Here is a 16,157-nt window from a genome sequence, read left to right on the forward strand (position 1 = left end):
AGTTAGCCAGGCCTGGTGGTCACGCCTGTAATCCCAGCTACTCAGGTGGCTGAGACACGAAAATTGCTTGAACCTGGGAGGCAGAGGTTGCAGCTGAGATCCCACCATTGCATGCCAGCCTGGGTGACAAAGGGAGACTTTGTCTAAAAAAAAAAAAAAAAAAAAAAAGTCAGCTCTAGTAGAATAGAAAAAAAGTGGAATTTGAAAAGTCAAGTTTGATTCCCAACTTGTTTGCTTTACTACTTGTATAATCTTCAAGAGGCCATTGGTTTCTGTGAACCTAGTTTCCTAGTCTGTAAAATGGGGATTATAATACCCATTCTGCTTCTCTGCTGGTACCTTTACATAGTACCAGAGGTAATAATATGTAACAACACTATGTAAACACTCGGGGTTCATATAAAAATAAGGTATCAAATGGTCTTTCTTGCAGACATATTTAATAAAAACCTATAATAAAAGCATTCAAATTTTGTTCTATATAAAAGCAAGGAGCAGAAGCAGAGGGTGTCCCCATGAATGAAAATTTCTCAGAATATCATTGTCTTTTTGAAAAGTAGTAGTGCACTGGACTAGATATTACACTGTGAATGATGGCTCACTCACACTATTTTACAAGGATTGCTATTAAAGGAAGTCATGTGATTTACCAGAATTGTTCCGGGCTACATAATATTGAGGACAAGTCCTGAATTGAATTATAGCAGTAGGAGCCCACATAGTAGCATTAAGAATATAGTTCCTTACAGTTTAGATCATTTTATGAGACAACTAATCAATTTTCAACAAATGCGTCTGCAGCCACTTTCCCCCAAATAATCTTCATTGCAAGAGATAATTTTTTCAGAAGTATTAAAAAGGGGTAAGGAAAATATAATCAACCTCAGCAGATGATCCTAATTCAAAATCCATTCCATATGACCAACTCTGAGATGATAAAATACAACATTTTTTAGAGCAGCAAATGTTTGCATTTAGGGGAAAGGGGTTTAGAGATCATACTTACCTCCCTTAAGGATAAAACACAACATAGATGAGACCAGAAAGGTTAAAGGGGTTACCCAAAGTTAGCCAGATCATGGTAGACCGTGAATTGACCCCCAGTTCTAATGAAAATAATACTAGACTTTCCAGCCAAGCGTGGTGGCTCATGTCTGTAATACCAGAGCTTTGGGAGGCTGAGGTGGTTAGATGGCTTGAGCTCAGGAGTTAGAGACCAGCATGGGCAACATGGTGAAATCTCATCTCTACCAAAAATACAAAAAATTAGCCAGGTGTGGTGGCCTGCACCTGCAGTCCCAGCTATCTGGGAGGCTGAGATGGGAAAATCGCTTGAGCCAGGGAGGTGGAGGTTGCGGTGAGCTGAGATCACGCCACTGGACTCCAGCCTGAGCAAACAGAGTGAGACCCCATCTCAAAAAATAAATAAATAAAAATAATACTAGACTCTTATGAATTATTTTCTTGTACAAAGCAGTAAGATGTTTACTTACACTTTCCTACACCTACCCCATTCCCGCACCACTCATTTCAGAAAGGAAATGCGCAGATTTTCTCCTGTAATGTCTGCCCTATAGGCTGTTGTGATAGTTAGCAAGAGTGGGAGCCTGTGGAAAGGCACGGCAAGAGCAGCTGCATAGGTGTGAACCCTGCTGTTAGTTGAAAGTAAAAGGACTAGGGCTTCAGCACTGTGCATCTCTTTGGAACTTCCTTACTGAGCCTTCAGACACTCTGAGGTCGGAGGCTGAAGGGAGTGAGCCATGCTTCCTGCAGCCATGGTAATTCTCAGTTTCAGCCTTTGCACAGTGGCAGCTGCAACACAGTCATCTCCCTGATTCACCCTCTGCCCCCATTTTTGCAATAAAACATCTGCTTGAAAAGGAGTAAACCAGGCAGGTGAGTTGGATAGTGCTCAAATTACATACTTTAATTGAATACTCATTTGTGGAATTCAGGTTTATGCAAGGTATTAAATCAGGAGGTAGGAGACAAGAGTTCTGATCTCTGCTTCAGTACTTACAAGCCATATAACCTTGGGCAAGTGACTTATTTCTGAGCCTCAGTTGATTAATCTTTAAAGTGGGGATAATAATATCTTGTTTGCTTAAAGGCAGGGGAATGAAACAGAAGCAGCTGTTAAAGATCCCTTCTAGATTCTAGAAAATTAAAGACAATGTGAGCGTTCCTCAAGTAAGGGAGTCATTTTTAGTAGTGTATTTCTTAGATATGATCTCTGTTATAGAGTATAAATAAGTTCACAGCTCTTTTTAACTATTCAAGACAACTGTTCAGACTAGCAAGAAGTCAGGGTCTCCCTCAGCTCCATTGTTGACATAAGGTGTGCCTATAAAAGTGCTATGCAGCCTTATCTTCCTCACACACTCAGCTATTTATCCCGAAGCACCCCATTAATGCCAGGATGTCTAATCCAAAAGGAGATTTGTATCTTCAATAAAGAGTTATTTCCGAATGAGAAAGATCCATACTTCCTGCCTCTGTATTGCAGCTAGTGAATTTGGGTCACTGGTCCATTCTCCTGTTGACTTCAGCTGCGTTCTAGATAGCCCCTCCCACATACACCACTGTGTCTGCACCATAATCTCCGGGAGGGAAGAGAAAGCTTCAGTGCTCCTTCTTGCCTGCAGACTTAATTAGGGATAATCTCAAAGCATTCAAATAATGTAGCGTTTCAATAAGGACAGTTATTTTGTCCCAGAAGCCTCCTTAGTACCTATGCAAATTTGTCCACTGCACTCCCAAGCCAAGTTCCCTCCCCACAAAAAGGCAACGGGTACCTACATTCCTTTTATCCATCAAGATAAGAAGGGACATCCCAACACAAAGATAGCTTGGCAGTCTTCACCACTAAACATTGAGGCAGCTGGCAACAAACCTCTACCTAACCAGACAAGTTAAGAAATTTGTCACTCTCTTTAGCATTGATGTCCTGAATCTTTTTCAATAATGAGTTTTCTGTCCAGTTCTCTCTATCTTAACATAGATGGGAGGATGGTTTCTGAGCAAGTCAATTGCAGATCTAGAAATGGATGTGCATGTCCTTGATTCTCTATGATCATTGCTGTTCTAGCTATATATTCAATGCAGAGCTTGACATTCAAACTTGCATAGGCATCCTCTTTCCAAATTAAAATGGACCCATCACTCATTAGTGGGGGTGAGGTAGTGGCAGTACCAAAGGATGTGTGTGGGAAGGGCAGCATATGTGCTTCTGTACTCTTTATCAGCTGCCCCCAATTAAAAACAATTGATAATTCTTTAATATGACAAAGGGTACTTTCTTAATCTTAGGTCAAGTATGAACGTGGGCACCTTATACCAAGTTGATATTTGTAATGATCTTGTCACTCCCTGCTTACGAGCCTTTCTCCCTCCACAATGGCTATTATAATCAGAGTAGAAAATGAAAGCTTTTATTAGGCATAAGAAGTTCAATGTGACCAGAACCCAGTGATGTAGCCATGACCTAATCTTATATTACTCTGTGTCTAGCATGTACCAGTCTTTAAAAAATGCTCACATTCACCAACACTTCCTCAAATGAGGCTTTTGAATCCACCTGAAATTTGCTTCTCAGTGATTTTTGCTTTGGCTGACTCTTTCTAGGCATTCAGGCTTCTGCTTAAATGTCACCTCCTCCAAGAAGGCTTCTATGAACTCCCATCTGAACTAGTTCTACTACTCCTGTCACTCCTTCATATTATGCAACTGTTTGTCTATCTCCCCCCATCAGAATGTAAGCTCCAGCAAGAAAGACACTTTGCTTATGTTGTTTACTGTATCAATCGGGATCCGATCAAGAGAGAAAAACAGTAATTTCAACAAGGAAAGTTCAATATAAAAAATTATTACCTATAACAGGGAATTGGATCAAAGGGAGATTGGTAAGAGGTAAAGAGAGCTCTAAATAATACAGAAATAGAGATATAAGGAACAGCTACTTACTAACCCTAGGGCTGAGATACAGCATCTCAAAAAGAGCTCCTCCAAGACACAGACACACTCTTAGGGCTGGCTGAGATCCAGACTTTGCTGGAGAGGGCACAGTTGTAACTTTCTGAATAGCAGGAGAGCCCTGCTAGAATTCTGCCTTCTGGAACTTGCTAGAAATCCACATTCCAGAACTCGTTGGAAATCCATTCTCTGGGGTTCCAAGGAAAGCTGCTGAGGGAGGTGACTCATTAGAGGCACTTGCTCCAAAGCCACCTAAGGGGCTTCTGGAGGAAGCTGCTGGCTGCTGGGTGCTGCTGCTTGCTACCTGTGCTGTAGGAACCTGCCCAGTATGCAACCAGAGCCAGGAACCAGGAAACCAAACCCTTTCCTCCTGCAATGTCTCTCCAGCGCCTTCTATTGACCTAGCTTTTTTAACAGCTGGAAAATATTTAAAGGGCTCAGATTCAGTTTCACTAGGCAGGCAATGAGGATGAATTTGGAGCTAAGAGGCAACATATTAATAATAGCCACTTTTATTGTGAAATCCCCATATTCTGGCACATAGTAGGTTTAATAAATATTTGGTGAAGTAATAAATAAATGATTTACATCTAACCAAAGTGAAAAGCATGCTTGGCATATGTCACTTCAAGATTGGAGCTTTCAGGCCTAGCTTTTAACATGAAAGTTGCTGCCAAGTGCCTCCCACATGAAAACTCTGGAACACCCCACCTACCCCCCACTCTGTGGTAGGGATAAGACAGGCCTCCAGATAACATCATAGCTTGGCTCAACAGTTAGCGAGAAGTGCAATGAGAGAAGCACAGCAGAGAAAAGGAGAAAAAGTGGCCATGAGCCCCACTTACAGTCTGTGTTACGGCTAGGGCTGGGCCGCCAGTTGCTGCATTTGCATCTTTCTGAGACATTGAGGTGAGTTACATAGCTCTGCCACGTGGCCAAAATGTGAAACACATCCAAGGGCTATATTTTAATACAGAACTTAAAAAATAAAGAAACATCTTGACTTCTCTAGCCACTTTCCTGTTGACACAAACCATCGAGAGAGATTAGGGGAAAGATCCTTGCTATAAGTGATCTGATATTTCCTAACAGAGCAAAGTTTCCTCTTTGTCCACTGACCCTTTCAATAGTTCTTCGGGTTCTATTCTTAGAATTCTCGTTTCCTGTCCTGAGAGAAAACTGCACAGAATTTCAATAAATATGACCCAAATGATGTGGAAACTTCCTATAAGGATGCAATGAGGTATTCATTCATTAATGCCATCAACAAATATTTACTGAGCACCAACTACCAGACAGTGATGGCAGACATAATTTGGGGAGTTTGGAGTGCAACTGTGAACACAACCAGGTCCCTGTTCTCATGGAACTTGCTAACATTCTGGCTAAAATAGAGAACATGGAACTTCCTACAGAGGCACTGTGGGTGATTTCACAAACCATTGAAAAGCTCTAGTGGGAGCAAGCAACTAACCAACCTTAGAATAAAACATGGTTGTTGCTGGTGTTCTTAGAAACTTCGCTGTCCTCGTGTGCAAATTGTATCACTAAAGTCTTCTCACTTTTGATTCTTGGGAAGGTTTCAGGGCAGGGCTGTCTAATGGAAATATGTAAGCCTCATAATTTAAAATCTTCTAGGAACAAAGTTAAAAAAGTAAAAAGAGGCTGGGCACGGTGGCTCACGCCTGTAATCCAAGCACTTTGGGAGGCCGAGGCGGACGGATCACCTGAGGTCAGGAGTTCAAGACCAGCCTGACCAACATGGAGAAACCCCGTCTCTACTAAAAATACAAAAAATTAGCTGGGTGTGGTGGCGCATGCCTGTAATCCTAGCTACTCGGGAGGCTGAGGAAGGAGAATCGCTTGAACCCAGGAGGCGGAGGTTGCGGTGAGCCGAGATCGTGCCATTGCACTCCAGCCTGGGCAACAAGAGCGAAACTCTGTCTCAAAAAAAAAAAAAAAAAAAAAAAAAAGTGTGTGCCTGCAGTCCCAACAACACTGGAGGCTCAGGCAGGAGGATAGCTTGAGCTTCAGAGTTTGAGGCCAGCCTAGGCAACACAGGAAGACCCCCATCAATACAATAAATAAATAGAAACAGACAAAATTAATTTTACTAATATTTTTAATTGAGTTATTCAAAATATCACAATTTTGACATAATTATAAATTATTGAGCTGCAGTTTTTTCACATTAATTTTTTCAAAATGCCACATATATGTGTACTTACAGCACATCTCATTTTGAATTGGACACATTTCAAGTGCTTAACAGTCACATGTGGCTAGGTATGGAACAGCAGAGGTTCAGAAAACTGTCAAAAGGACTTCTCTGTCCTCTTATTTTGGGGATGGAGGCGAAAATATTTGCCGAATTGAAACATTCTGTGAACTTTGGCTCTGGGTTTTTAGTATGAAATTAGAGGCAGGTGAAGACCACCATAGCCTTCCTTTGCACCAGCTCACTACAGTGGCCAGAACGGAAGGAGGTTCACAGAACGTGCTAGGTTGGACATTAAGTCACCGAGTCATCCACTGAGGAAAGGGATATCATTAAGAAGAATAGTTTTCCACTAACGCCGAACCGGCGGCACCATCTCAACCAACAGGTCAAGTTACAGTAGGCAAGCACGCATAGAAATAAACGTCTAAAACCCAGCCTGTTACATTAGCCAACACTCTTCTTGACTTTTTCCGAATTTTTTCCCTGTCCCCAAGATTAGCCGCTCGCTAGAAAAGACTGCGAGCCTCAGCAGCCTCCCCTTGAACTGGGGCGCTGCCTCCAGCTGGACACGGACTAAGGATGGAAAGGCGCACTGACGGAGGCCGCCCCCATTTCCCAGGCCCCTCCCTAGGGGTGCCCCTCCTCAGCCATGGCTGCCCCTTTCTCTCCTCCTCCAGCATCTGCCCCTGGGGCCACCCCCACCTTTCCGCCATCTCTCGGGCCCGCGTGGCACCCTGCTCTGTTTTTAACGGGGATAAACTTGACTTGCTTCTCCAAAGAGCGGGAAAAAGAGGCGCAGTCTTGGTACTGATCTGGGGGAGGGAACGTCCCAGGGCGCGCAGGGGCGTTTTCTACCCGTGCCCCGTCGGCCTGCTCTGTTCAGTACCGACCGTGTTCGGGGTTCACGTGGCCCAGTCGGCAAAGTTTCTTTGGAGGTCCAGCGTCTCTGATTCCCGGATCTTCAGCCCCACCCGGAGCCCCCACGGTTACTGCCCCCCGCGACCCCCGATGGAGCGTCGGGATGCGCTTTCTCTCCGAGTGCCTCCGGGGGTGGAGGGAGGGAGGCCTGTTTCGGAACTAAATGGCAATCACAGCCCCCGCGGGGCTTGGAGGGACGAGCTCCCCGCCCACCCCGCGGCCCCGGCCCCAGCCAGCATCTCGCGACTCCATTTCTGGCTCTAAACAAGAACGGGGACCGAGTCGCGTTCACACGGAAAATTATGCCGGCTCCAGCGGCGCGTAAAATTGATGTGAACCGAACGAAGTAAGATCAGCGTGATCCTCCCCCTCTTGTCTCAACAGGGGTTTCGGCGCGTTACACAAGGCCGAGCTTGTCTCTTTAAGGAGACATTGGACCCTAATTAGTCCGCATTCCTGGCGCGGCTGCGGAGCGAGGGGCCGAAGGTGTCTGGGTTGGGAGACGGGTGGGCGGGAGGACGAGACTCGGAAGAAGATCTTTTGACCAGCCCCCAGGCTCACCGCTCCCTCCACCCTCTTTATTTTGCCGCCACCACCACCACCACCACCAACACCTAATTCTGAAGATGCAGCCAGGGCAGCAGCAACAGCAGCAGCCGCCGATTCTCCCAGCCCCACGTTACTTTGATTGACAGCTGAACAAATGTTTTCCCGGTTCGAACGCTCGCGCTAAGGAACGTCAGCCAAGGCGAAGCTCCGCCTTGGGCGGGCCATCTCCGCCCCGCCTCCGCCAACCTCATTCCTCTTCGTTAATTGGTCGGAGCTACAGGCGACGCCCGGCCCCCACGTGGGTTTCAGCTGGGTTGGCTCCTCCCCGCTGGCTTGCCATTTGTCAGCAGTGAAATGATGGGCACTAACACAGAACGGCGATTAATGTTCAGCCACCTCTGATTGGTTGGTGGAGACGCCTACCGCAACGGGGGTGGGCGGGGCGCTTGGAGAGCTCGCCAGAGCGCTCGCATGGCGGGCCGGTGATTGTAGTCAATCTGGCCGTATTCTCAGGCAGGGTCGCCCGGGGCGGACTACATCTCCCGGGATGCTGCGCGGCCGCCCCGCGGAAGATTGTGAATATGTATCAGAATGTTAATGATTAGCTGCTGCTAAATTTGGTCAAAGAAGTCACCTACACAGAGCGTGTTGTTAGAGCTGTGCTGAGCGGGTGTTTGGGTTGTTGGCTGCTTTCTTCCCCCTTTCTCACACACTTGTATATTATTTTGAGGTGGTGTTCGCAGAGTTTGAAAGGAGAGAGAATTAAAAAAAAAAGCCGCAAGCGTTTCACTCTTTTATTTTTATAATCCCCTTCAATTTGGGGTTAAAAAAAAGACAAGAAAACAGGAAGGAAGAGAAATAAGGAAATGAGATGTGGTAAAAGAAGCTAAAAGGTGCCTTTTAAAAGATCGTTGCTGTGAAGTGAAAAAAATCTCCAGAGAAACCAAAAAGCACCGCCGAGACCTCTTCCGAACCAAAGGAGTTTGTGTTTGCTTTTAGGGAAGAAGAAAGATCATTCATTCGGAGGAATAACAACCAATTAAAAGACAAATAAAAAAAGTTTGGAGTGGGACGCAGAGCGAGCGAGAGGAGCTGCCGGCGGGCGGTGGGGCGCGGAGCCCGCACTTTCCCGGCCGGGTGAGCGGCGGCCGCGGCGCCGGGCTCGGCGGGTGCGCCTCGGCGGAGCGAACGTCGGAGCGTTGCCTTGGGAGACGCGCGCCGGACAATGCCCGCGGCGGGCCAGTGACGCCCGCGGGGAATGCGGAGCGGCCCGGCAGCCGGCACCCAGCCGCCGCCGCGCGTTCCTGCCGCCCGTGTCACGCGAGACCCGGCGGGGGCCGGGACCGCCCGAGCCGCCCCTCAGACCGAGCCGGCCGCCTCCGCTGCCGCGGCCGCCTCCTCTTCGGGGTCATTAAAGCCAATGAGCCGCGCGCCTCTGCCGAGCGCAGCCAACTAAATCGGCTTGGATGATTCGCGACCTGAGCAAGATGTACCCGCAGACCAGACACCCAGTGAGTGCGGGCGGCGGGGCGCGGGCTCGCCGGGTGCTGGGGGATTCCCCGCGTCGCCCCCTGCGCACCGAGTTGTGTCTTTTGGCCGGAGGGGCGTGGAGAGCCGCCCGAAATCGGCGCCCCGCGCCGGGAGCAGCCCGCCCGCCATCACCCCCACCCCCCGGCGCGGTGGCCCTCGGAGGGGGTGCGGAGAGGCAATTGAGTTGTAGCCATTTTCTTATTGTTGTCTTTGAAGCCCCTGGAAGCCGCGCCGAGCCGTTTGCGGTCCCCGCGCCGCGACTCCTCGAGGGGGGGTGGCGAGCGATGAAGGAGGCGCGACTCCGCGCCCGGGCGGGGAGGGCGCCCTCGGCAGCGGCGCTGCTGGGCTGGCTGCGGTTTGGAAGTGCGGGGCGCCGGCCCCTCGCGCCGCGGGCCGCCGGGGCGAGCGGGCGAACGAACGAGCCGAGAGGGTGGCGGCCGCCTCCCTCCTCCCCCGGCCTGACCGCAGCCCGACGCCATGGCGCGGGTCCCCCCGACGGGCCAGTTTCGATTCCGGGTGAGGAGGGAGTGGGCGCGGCGCGCGGGTCCCTGGGTGCCTGTCTTTGGCCGGGGAGGGGAGACGGGACTCGAACCCTCGGGGTCCGGGGCGCGGGGGCCTGCGGGCGGGAGTATGCGGGGCCCCAGGACCACCTCGAAACCAGCCTCTGCCTGGGCTGTTGGGCGCGAGGAGGGTTGCGGGAGGAGAGTTTTAATCTCTCTTTGCTTGCGTGCGCGATGACCCTCACCCCCCGCTAACGCCGCATAGTAGGTTTTCTCCGTCTCCCTGCTTCGCCTGTGATGTGGGCTAATTAAATATTTTATTGTTGTTCTTCAGGCACCGCATCAGCCTGCTCAACCCTTTAAATTTACAATTTCCGAATCCTGTGATCGGATTAAGGAAGAGTTTCAGTTTTTACAGGCTCAATACCACAGGTAACGATATTGACTTTAGCTGATCCTTCTGTTTGCTTAGCTCTTGTCTCCCCGACAAATACACACAAACACTTACCCTCCTCCTTTTTTGTGGGGGCGTCACAAAGGTATTATTTTTTTTTCTCGGTGGGCAGAAAGGGCAAATCAAGGCCTCCTTCCTTAGGCAGGTGTAAATAAATTAAACATTTCTTCTACCGTAAATAAAAAGAAGGCAGAACAATCGAAACTGGGGAGACTTGGAAAACGCTGAGGCCAAACTTTCGATATTGATTTATTGGGGCCGGGAGAATGAAAGGTTGGGAAGATTCTGGGGCCTTTTGACATCCTTGGTTCTTTATTACTCCGGACTTGATTCCTTCTCACTTTTTTCTGCCATTCCACTGAAGAGCTGAGAGCCCAGGGAAGTCGGAGTGAGCGATTTCATTACTTTTATGCTAAAAAAAAAAAAAATGTTTTCATCTTATAGACGATTTTTAGACTTAGGGTGCCTTTGAGACATTTTTCTTTAGCTGGCTTTTTAATGATGCCTAATTCTTATTTCATAAATGCAAGAACCAAAACAAACCACTGAACCCGATTGACACTTTGCCCCTGGGTGGTGGTATTCAACTTGTCTGTGTGTTTTGGAGGGAAAAAAACAAGATATCATTCATAAGACATGCTTGATTCATATTTTCATTAATCTCTTTGTAGAACATTAAAGAAATTCCCTTGTGACGTTTTGGAGGACTTATTTGTGCTTGTATGTGCAGTCATTATTGAAGTTTATTTTCGTGTTTGTTTTATTAAGTGAATATTCAATTCTGGAGGAAGTTCCTGAATTAAACTGATTAGAGGATTTGTTTCCTTAAAACTTAATTAAAAAAAAAATCCTAAAAACAAAAAACCACATATATGATCCTTATTGAAGGGGCAAGTCCAGACTGGTTCCAATCACCCCTTTCCCCTTCCCTTTCCATAATGATGGGGGTATTTATTTAAGATTGTTGATTTAGTTGTTTGTAGGTGAGATTTAGAATATGCGTTTAAGAGTTGAAGGATGTAAGTTAAGATCATTGTACTTAGAGTATCTTATGTCTTGAACAGTCTGAAGCTGGAATGTGAGAAACTCGCCAGTGAGAAGACAGAGATGCAGCGGCATTATGTCATGGTAAGAAAACCATGTCACAGATTCAAAGTGCCTATTAGTTTGGAATACCAAAAACAAGAATATGTTTAAATTGCTGGGGGCTGCAAGATAGATCACAGTCACCCTGCCAGTGCAGTTGAAGTTGTGGGAATATGTCTATTAGCAACCTGTAATTCTAGGCTGTTATAACTTGCCTTTGACAACTGGCTTTGATTGGAATTTTCAGAAAGTTCAGCCACATGGGGTATAATTTTCTGTGCTTTGTTTTTACAGATCGAAAAAAAATAAAAACAAAACCTTGTTTGTTTTGTCACAAGCAAAAATGTTTTTGTGTTAGTGGCTTTCTTTGTTGTTTTATTGCTCTTGCTCCAAACAATTTTTGCCAGTTTTTCTGTATGCTGTTAACATTGTAAATGTCTTATTATTAAAGACATTATTAAAAAATAATGTTTTATTTCTTTGAAAAGGAGTGATGGATAAGGAAAGACAGCAGACCATTTTTCAAATTTTTTTCTCTTTATGTTACTATTACATTAATATTTGTATGTTTTCAATTTCTGTAGTGTTATATTGGTTTGAGGAATGTTGTAGTCTCCTGTATAACTGATGTGTTCTGCCAGAATTTCTATGCCAGTTATACTACACGTTCAAAAAACCAGATCTGCTTTTACAGAAGTATTATGAAGCATATTTTTATGATTGTCCAAGAAAGCTCCAGAATAACCCACTCATTTATTTTTCTATCTAGCTTTTTTGCTTTGAATGTGTGAATATGAGCAGTACACTAACAAATCAGAAATCAAACTCTAAGTAGCATCACCTTTTCCAACCTTCCTTTCAAAACATCAGCGTTTGTATAAGGCATTCTTTGCTGTTAACTTGCCTGCTGTGCTTAGGAATTAAGAGTCCGTAGGATACCAAATTTTCATCAGACTTTTTTGATGCATCTGCTTGGGATGTATAAAGAAACTGGAGATGTTAAGAATGCTGTGTTTGAATTTAATTTTTCTTAGTTTTGTGTGTTTTCTCTTAGAATTTGTGTCTTAAGGTGGTTAAAGATAGTGATGGGCTCTTGATTTATTGGCATAGGTTATATGAAGATACTGGTTTAGGTGAGGCTTTTATGTTTGTTTCAGATTTACTTGGGGCATTTTGAACAAACTAGGGAGATTGTTTGATGAAAGTCATGCATTTAATTGCTTTTCCTTCTTTGACAGTATTATGAAATGTCCTATGGGTTGAATATAGAAATGCACAAGCAGGTAAGTTATTTCTTTATAACCATTTTAAATGACAGTAATACTGGGACACTATGAAAAGAAAATTGTATGTTTTGCAGTTTTATTCTGCAAGCCGTTGTGGCTACCTGTATTTAAAAGTCTGGGTAGTGAAGAAAATGCTGTTTTTTCATGTGTGGCTCCCCATCTTTCTTTCATATTATCCTAATTTTTATAATTTAAAAATGTTATTTTAAAAAGTCTGAATACATATTAAACTCTGTACACTTTCAAAAGCAGGATGCTAAATTTTAAAATCCTCTTGTTATTCTTCTGAAAGAGTTGCTTTATGTATTTTGGGCATTGCAAACTTGTCTTGTGAAAGAGCTTTTCTTGGAAAATATTAAACAGTAAAATTAAATTGTGTGGCGCCTTCGTTGGCTTGATGTGAAAGAATGGATAGAGGGTGAGCTGGGAGGATGAAAATGAAATCTGTGGAGCTACAAAAGAAATTGATGTAAAATCCTTGTACTGGTCCCCTGAGGCTACTTAGTTGGGTCTTACCAAGAACTATAACCGTTACTTCCAAAATTTGTACAGAGTAAATGAGCCTGATAGGAGGATGTGATAAGGTTCAACATTGGGTCTTGAAATCTAGCAATTAGTTCAGTAGCAAAAAAAAAAAAAAATGATTAGTCAGAAAGCACTGAGAGATACGACTCAAACAGTCTTCTTTTTGTGCAGGAGACTGAATAAAATGGTTTGGCTTAAATTTCCTAGACAGAAGAATAATAGCGGGTATATCTATCTATATATATATATACACACACACAAATATATATACATACATATATATATATAAATATTGTTTGGCGATAGTAATTCCTCTAGGAAGCATTTATTTTTAGTGATCTCCTAGTGGAAGCACTTCAGGTCTCATCAGCCATTTCAGAATAGGTGTGTATGTGTTTGTCTGCTGGGAAAAAGACAAGGGAAAACTTACTGCTTTTCATTTCCTATTTATGGTCAAGGTGGATGTCATTACTTTCTAAGTTGAGAAAATATGAAATGAGCACATACTATTAGGCCTTCACTATTTATGGATTCCTTTTTGGGTATAGTTATTTTCTACATGCTCAGAACATCCCAGATAGTAGATCTTTAAGAGATGGCTGTTAGACAATAAGGCAATCTGATGAATAGTATTGGAAAACAAAAAGTTGGAAAAAAATGAGACGTTGCTTACATTGAGGACTTTTAATTTCAGATACTGTTTTACTTTGTATGCTATTTGGTTATGTCAATATTAGCATTATAGTATAGTTTGAATGGCCTGTTGAAATTAAATTCTTATTTTGGCATCTTTGTCATTTCTGTTTAGATTAGTAATGTAAATATCTTCTGCTTAAACAAAATCTGTTCAATCTTGTGGATGGACTTCTCTTAGTTCTACCTTACAGGAATAAATTACATGAGAGATATTGTTTGTTAATTATCCCATTACATTTCCTTTGAGGTCTGGATCTTGTGTATGTCTCTTTTTTTGTCTGCACCCCACTCCCCAAAATTAATTAGTGTCTTTTTAAAGATTGGACCAGATGATTAATTTAGTCCCTTTATTTCTCCTTCTGTATCTTGTTTACCCTAACCACTTAGTTTCCAGGTCTCCTTGTACCATCTACATTTCTAAGAGGCACATAGCTTGTATTTGGCTGTATGTATTTCTTTTTCGAGGGGGTATGTGAAATCCCTTAATTTTACACATTTTATACTGCTATAATTCTGTCATCTTCTTGTCCAGCTAGCCTCAAATGCCATCCATTTAAAATTGAGAACAGTACATTTTCCCTTTTTTTCGTTTCCTTTTAAATTCAATCATATCAAGAATCCTGAGGGCAGTTTATCACATTATGAAATACAGACAGCCCTGCAAACCACCTACTTATTATATTTTCTTTCTTTCTCCCCCTTAAGCATAGAGGCATATCTGTCTTTATTTGTTTTCCTAGGCAGACAGCCTTAGTTCCTCTTAGCCTCTCTTCCAGATGTACTCGCTGGATACCCTTGTAATGGAAAGCAGCAATAATGCAGGGAAGTTGCCCTGCGGCATAATTGGGCCTAGTTCTCAAGATCGGGTTAGGTTTATTCACTTATTAGATTTGTGTCTCGAAGGGTTCAACAGTAGGAGTCCCGGGAGCCCTTGGAAGTACCCTAGTAATTGGTGGCCCTGATATTTGAAACCTTTGTGTATTTTTTGGTTAACGTTCCTGTTCTTCTTGGCTGCTGCTAGCCACAGAATATTTATTTTTAGAGAAATTTTTCATTGGAACAGAAAATGGTGGTTGTGATGCAGTCATGGCTCTGTGACTTAGCAAACTGATAAAAAGATAAAAGTATGAAGCAAAGACAAACAGGGTGGAGGTCGGTGTTCTCCCTCCTACCCTTTCTATGTGGTGCTCATCATCAGTCCCCCTGTGTTGATTCTGATAGAGAACTATAAAATGAAACCTATGGGGAATTTGTCATTCTGAAATGAAAGCTAATGTAATTAGTACCAATTAAAGTACATTTAGTAAATTGGATTTAATCTTAATTAAGCCTGCATAATGTTGCCAATTTTTAACAATTATGTTTGAGAACATAATTAATTTAAATTTTGGTAACTGAGTAAATAGCATTAGTCTGGTAGAATTAGTGGATTTTTTTTTTTTTTAAAGGGGAACTTGGTGATATGACGTGGAATTGGAACATAAAATATGAATCTAAATTTCTGGTAATCTTTAGGATTGATAGAGCTAAGCAGATGAAGCAAAAAAAAAAAAAAGGATGAAGTATTCTAGGCTATAATGGGAATTAATGCTGTGCCATTGTCTCAAGTTCTAGCATAAAAGTGAAGATGACAAATAGGACATGGTTAGAAATGGCACATGTTTTAGTGTGACGTCTTCAAAATGGAATTTTTAAAAATGAAAGAACATAGGCCCTTATTCCCTAAGGATTTCCCTAAGTGTATGGTTTTTGTTTTTTGTTTTGTATGAGACAGCTGACCCAGGGTTTAGTTGTTAAGTTTTTTTGCTGATTGTTCTTCTTTGTAAATACAGTGTGGCTTCTAAATGGGTTGGTGGCTTCTAAATGGCACAGTGGGGTGATGCATGGAGTTGATAGCATTACTAAATGCTGCTTCTTCCCATCTTTCACCTGTAATGCTGTCATTAAAGAAGTCCTCACTGATGGACTCTGACAGCAGTGGTTACCATTCTAAAAAGTGAGTATTGGATATAGATTAGGAACAGTAGGTATGTGAATTCAACCTATAGGAACTATATGGAGATGAACATACCATCTTTTGAAAAGGGGAGCATGAGAACATCTATGACTTCCTTATAGTTAGTATTCTACAATGTGAAAGCTTCTTCATTTGAATTTTAGTAATCATCAGGAAATTTTAGAAATCTAAAACGCATAGAATCTGAAAGTAAGTACTGCACATTTATGTATGTTTTATGTGTGTATTTTTATATGTGTGTGTATTTGTGTGTGTGTGTGTGTATATATATATGTATATTTAATCAAAGCAAGAAAACTCCTGTTTCACTTAAAGCCATGTAAATTTTATTACGAGACTTGGGCCACAACCATTTGAGTGCTGCTAAAATATTAATTGAATAGAAATGAAAGGGCCTTGCCAA

General features: G+C 43.5%; 1 protein-coding gene and 1 long non-coding RNA gene across 54 annotated transcripts in view, besides 10 other annotated features; one reads left to right on the plus strand and one right to left on the minus strand.

Moving 5' to 3' along the window:
* LNCARSR (lncRNA regulator of Akt signaling associated with HCC and RCC) overlaps window positions 1-4,288 on the minus strand; it is a 50,080-nt gene extending 45,792 nt beyond the window's left edge. For 2 of the 4 annotated variants that reach the window (NR_184113.1, NR_184112.1), the window contains exon 1: window positions 3,968-4,288. This is a non-coding gene — a long non-coding RNA (lncRNA regulator of Akt signaling associated with HCC and RCC). Of the gene's footprint in view, window positions 1-3,963 lie in introns of all 4 variants that reach the window. The other 2 variants (NR_184111.1, NR_184110.1) reach the window with 1 other exon arrangement.
* Window positions 6,773-6,822: a silencer, noted in NCBI's record as "silent region_19969". NCBI's record gives its function as "represses an Ori minimal core promoter by ATAC-STARR-seq in GM12878 lymphoblastoid cells {active_cell/tissue: GM12878}" and the evidence as "EXISTENCE:reporter gene assay evidence [ECO:0000049][PMID:35858748]".
* Window positions 8,183-8,312: an enhancer, noted in NCBI's record as "active region_28489". NCBI's record gives its function as "activates an Ori minimal core promoter by ATAC-STARR-seq in GM12878 lymphoblastoid cells {active_cell/tissue: GM12878}" and the evidence as "EXISTENCE:reporter gene assay evidence [ECO:0000049][PMID:35858748]".
* Window positions 8,301-16,157, plus strand: part of TLE4 (TLE family member 4, transcriptional corepressor) — a 154,918-nt gene continuing 147,061 nt past the window's right edge. For 39 of the 50 annotated variants that reach the window (NR_104239.2, NM_001282760.2, XM_011518952.2 and 36 more), the window contains exons 1-4: window positions 8,301-9,171; window positions 10,025-10,122; window positions 11,209-11,272; window positions 12,469-12,513. Coding sequence is in view for 48 of the 50 variants with exons in the window: in XM_011518952.2 (XP_011517254.1) it covers window positions 9,127-9,171; window positions 10,025-10,122; window positions 11,209-11,272; window positions 12,469-12,513 (252 nt within the window). In the remaining 2 variants the exon portion in view is untranslated. Of the gene's footprint in view, window positions 9,172-9,512; window positions 9,707-10,024; window positions 10,123-11,208; window positions 11,273-12,468; window positions 12,514-16,157 lie in introns of those variants that run through there. The other 11 variants (XM_011518953.3, XM_017015067.2, NM_001351543.2 and 8 more) reach the window with 3 other exon arrangements.
* Window positions 8,323-8,372: an enhancer, noted in NCBI's record as "active region_28490". NCBI's record gives its function as "activates an Ori minimal core promoter by ATAC-STARR-seq in GM12878 lymphoblastoid cells {active_cell/tissue: GM12878}" and the evidence as "EXISTENCE:reporter gene assay evidence [ECO:0000049][PMID:35858748]".
* Window positions 8,413-8,502: an enhancer, noted in NCBI's record as "active region_28491". NCBI's record gives its function as "activates an Ori minimal core promoter by ATAC-STARR-seq in GM12878 lymphoblastoid cells {active_cell/tissue: GM12878}" and the evidence as "EXISTENCE:reporter gene assay evidence [ECO:0000049][PMID:35858748]".
* Window positions 8,733-8,852: a silencer, noted in NCBI's record as "silent region_19970". NCBI's record gives its function as "represses an Ori minimal core promoter by ATAC-STARR-seq in GM12878 lymphoblastoid cells {active_cell/tissue: GM12878}" and the evidence as "EXISTENCE:reporter gene assay evidence [ECO:0000049][PMID:35858748]".
* Window positions 8,913-9,072: a silencer, noted in NCBI's record as "silent region_19971". NCBI's record gives its function as "represses an Ori minimal core promoter by ATAC-STARR-seq in GM12878 lymphoblastoid cells {active_cell/tissue: GM12878}" and the evidence as "EXISTENCE:reporter gene assay evidence [ECO:0000049][PMID:35858748]".
* Window positions 9,183-9,652: a silencer, noted in NCBI's record as "silent region_19972". NCBI's record gives its function as "represses an Ori minimal core promoter by ATAC-STARR-seq in GM12878 lymphoblastoid cells {active_cell/tissue: GM12878}" and the evidence as "EXISTENCE:reporter gene assay evidence [ECO:0000049][PMID:35858748]".
* Window positions 9,183-9,912: a biological region, named in NCBI's record as "H3K27ac hESC enhancer GRCh37_chr9:82187809-82188421".
* Window positions 9,230-9,842: an enhancer, noted in NCBI's record as "H3K27ac hESC enhancer chr9:82187809-82188421 (GRCh37/hg19 assembly coordinates)". NCBI's record gives its function as "activates a minimal SCP1, AML or CMV promoter by ChIP-STARR-seq in naive H9 embryonic stem cells {active_cell/tissue: H9 hESC(naive)}" and the evidence as "EXISTENCE:reporter gene assay evidence [ECO:0000049][PMID:30033119]".
* Window positions 9,673-9,912: a silencer, noted in NCBI's record as "silent region_19973". NCBI's record gives its function as "represses an Ori minimal core promoter by ATAC-STARR-seq in GM12878 lymphoblastoid cells {active_cell/tissue: GM12878}" and the evidence as "EXISTENCE:reporter gene assay evidence [ECO:0000049][PMID:35858748]".

This window comes from Homo sapiens, chromosome 9, assembly GCF_000001405.40.
Source record: "Homo sapiens chromosome 9, GRCh38.p14 Primary Assembly".
Lineage (NCBI taxonomy): Eukaryota > Metazoa > Chordata > Mammalia > Primates > Hominidae > Homo > Homo sapiens.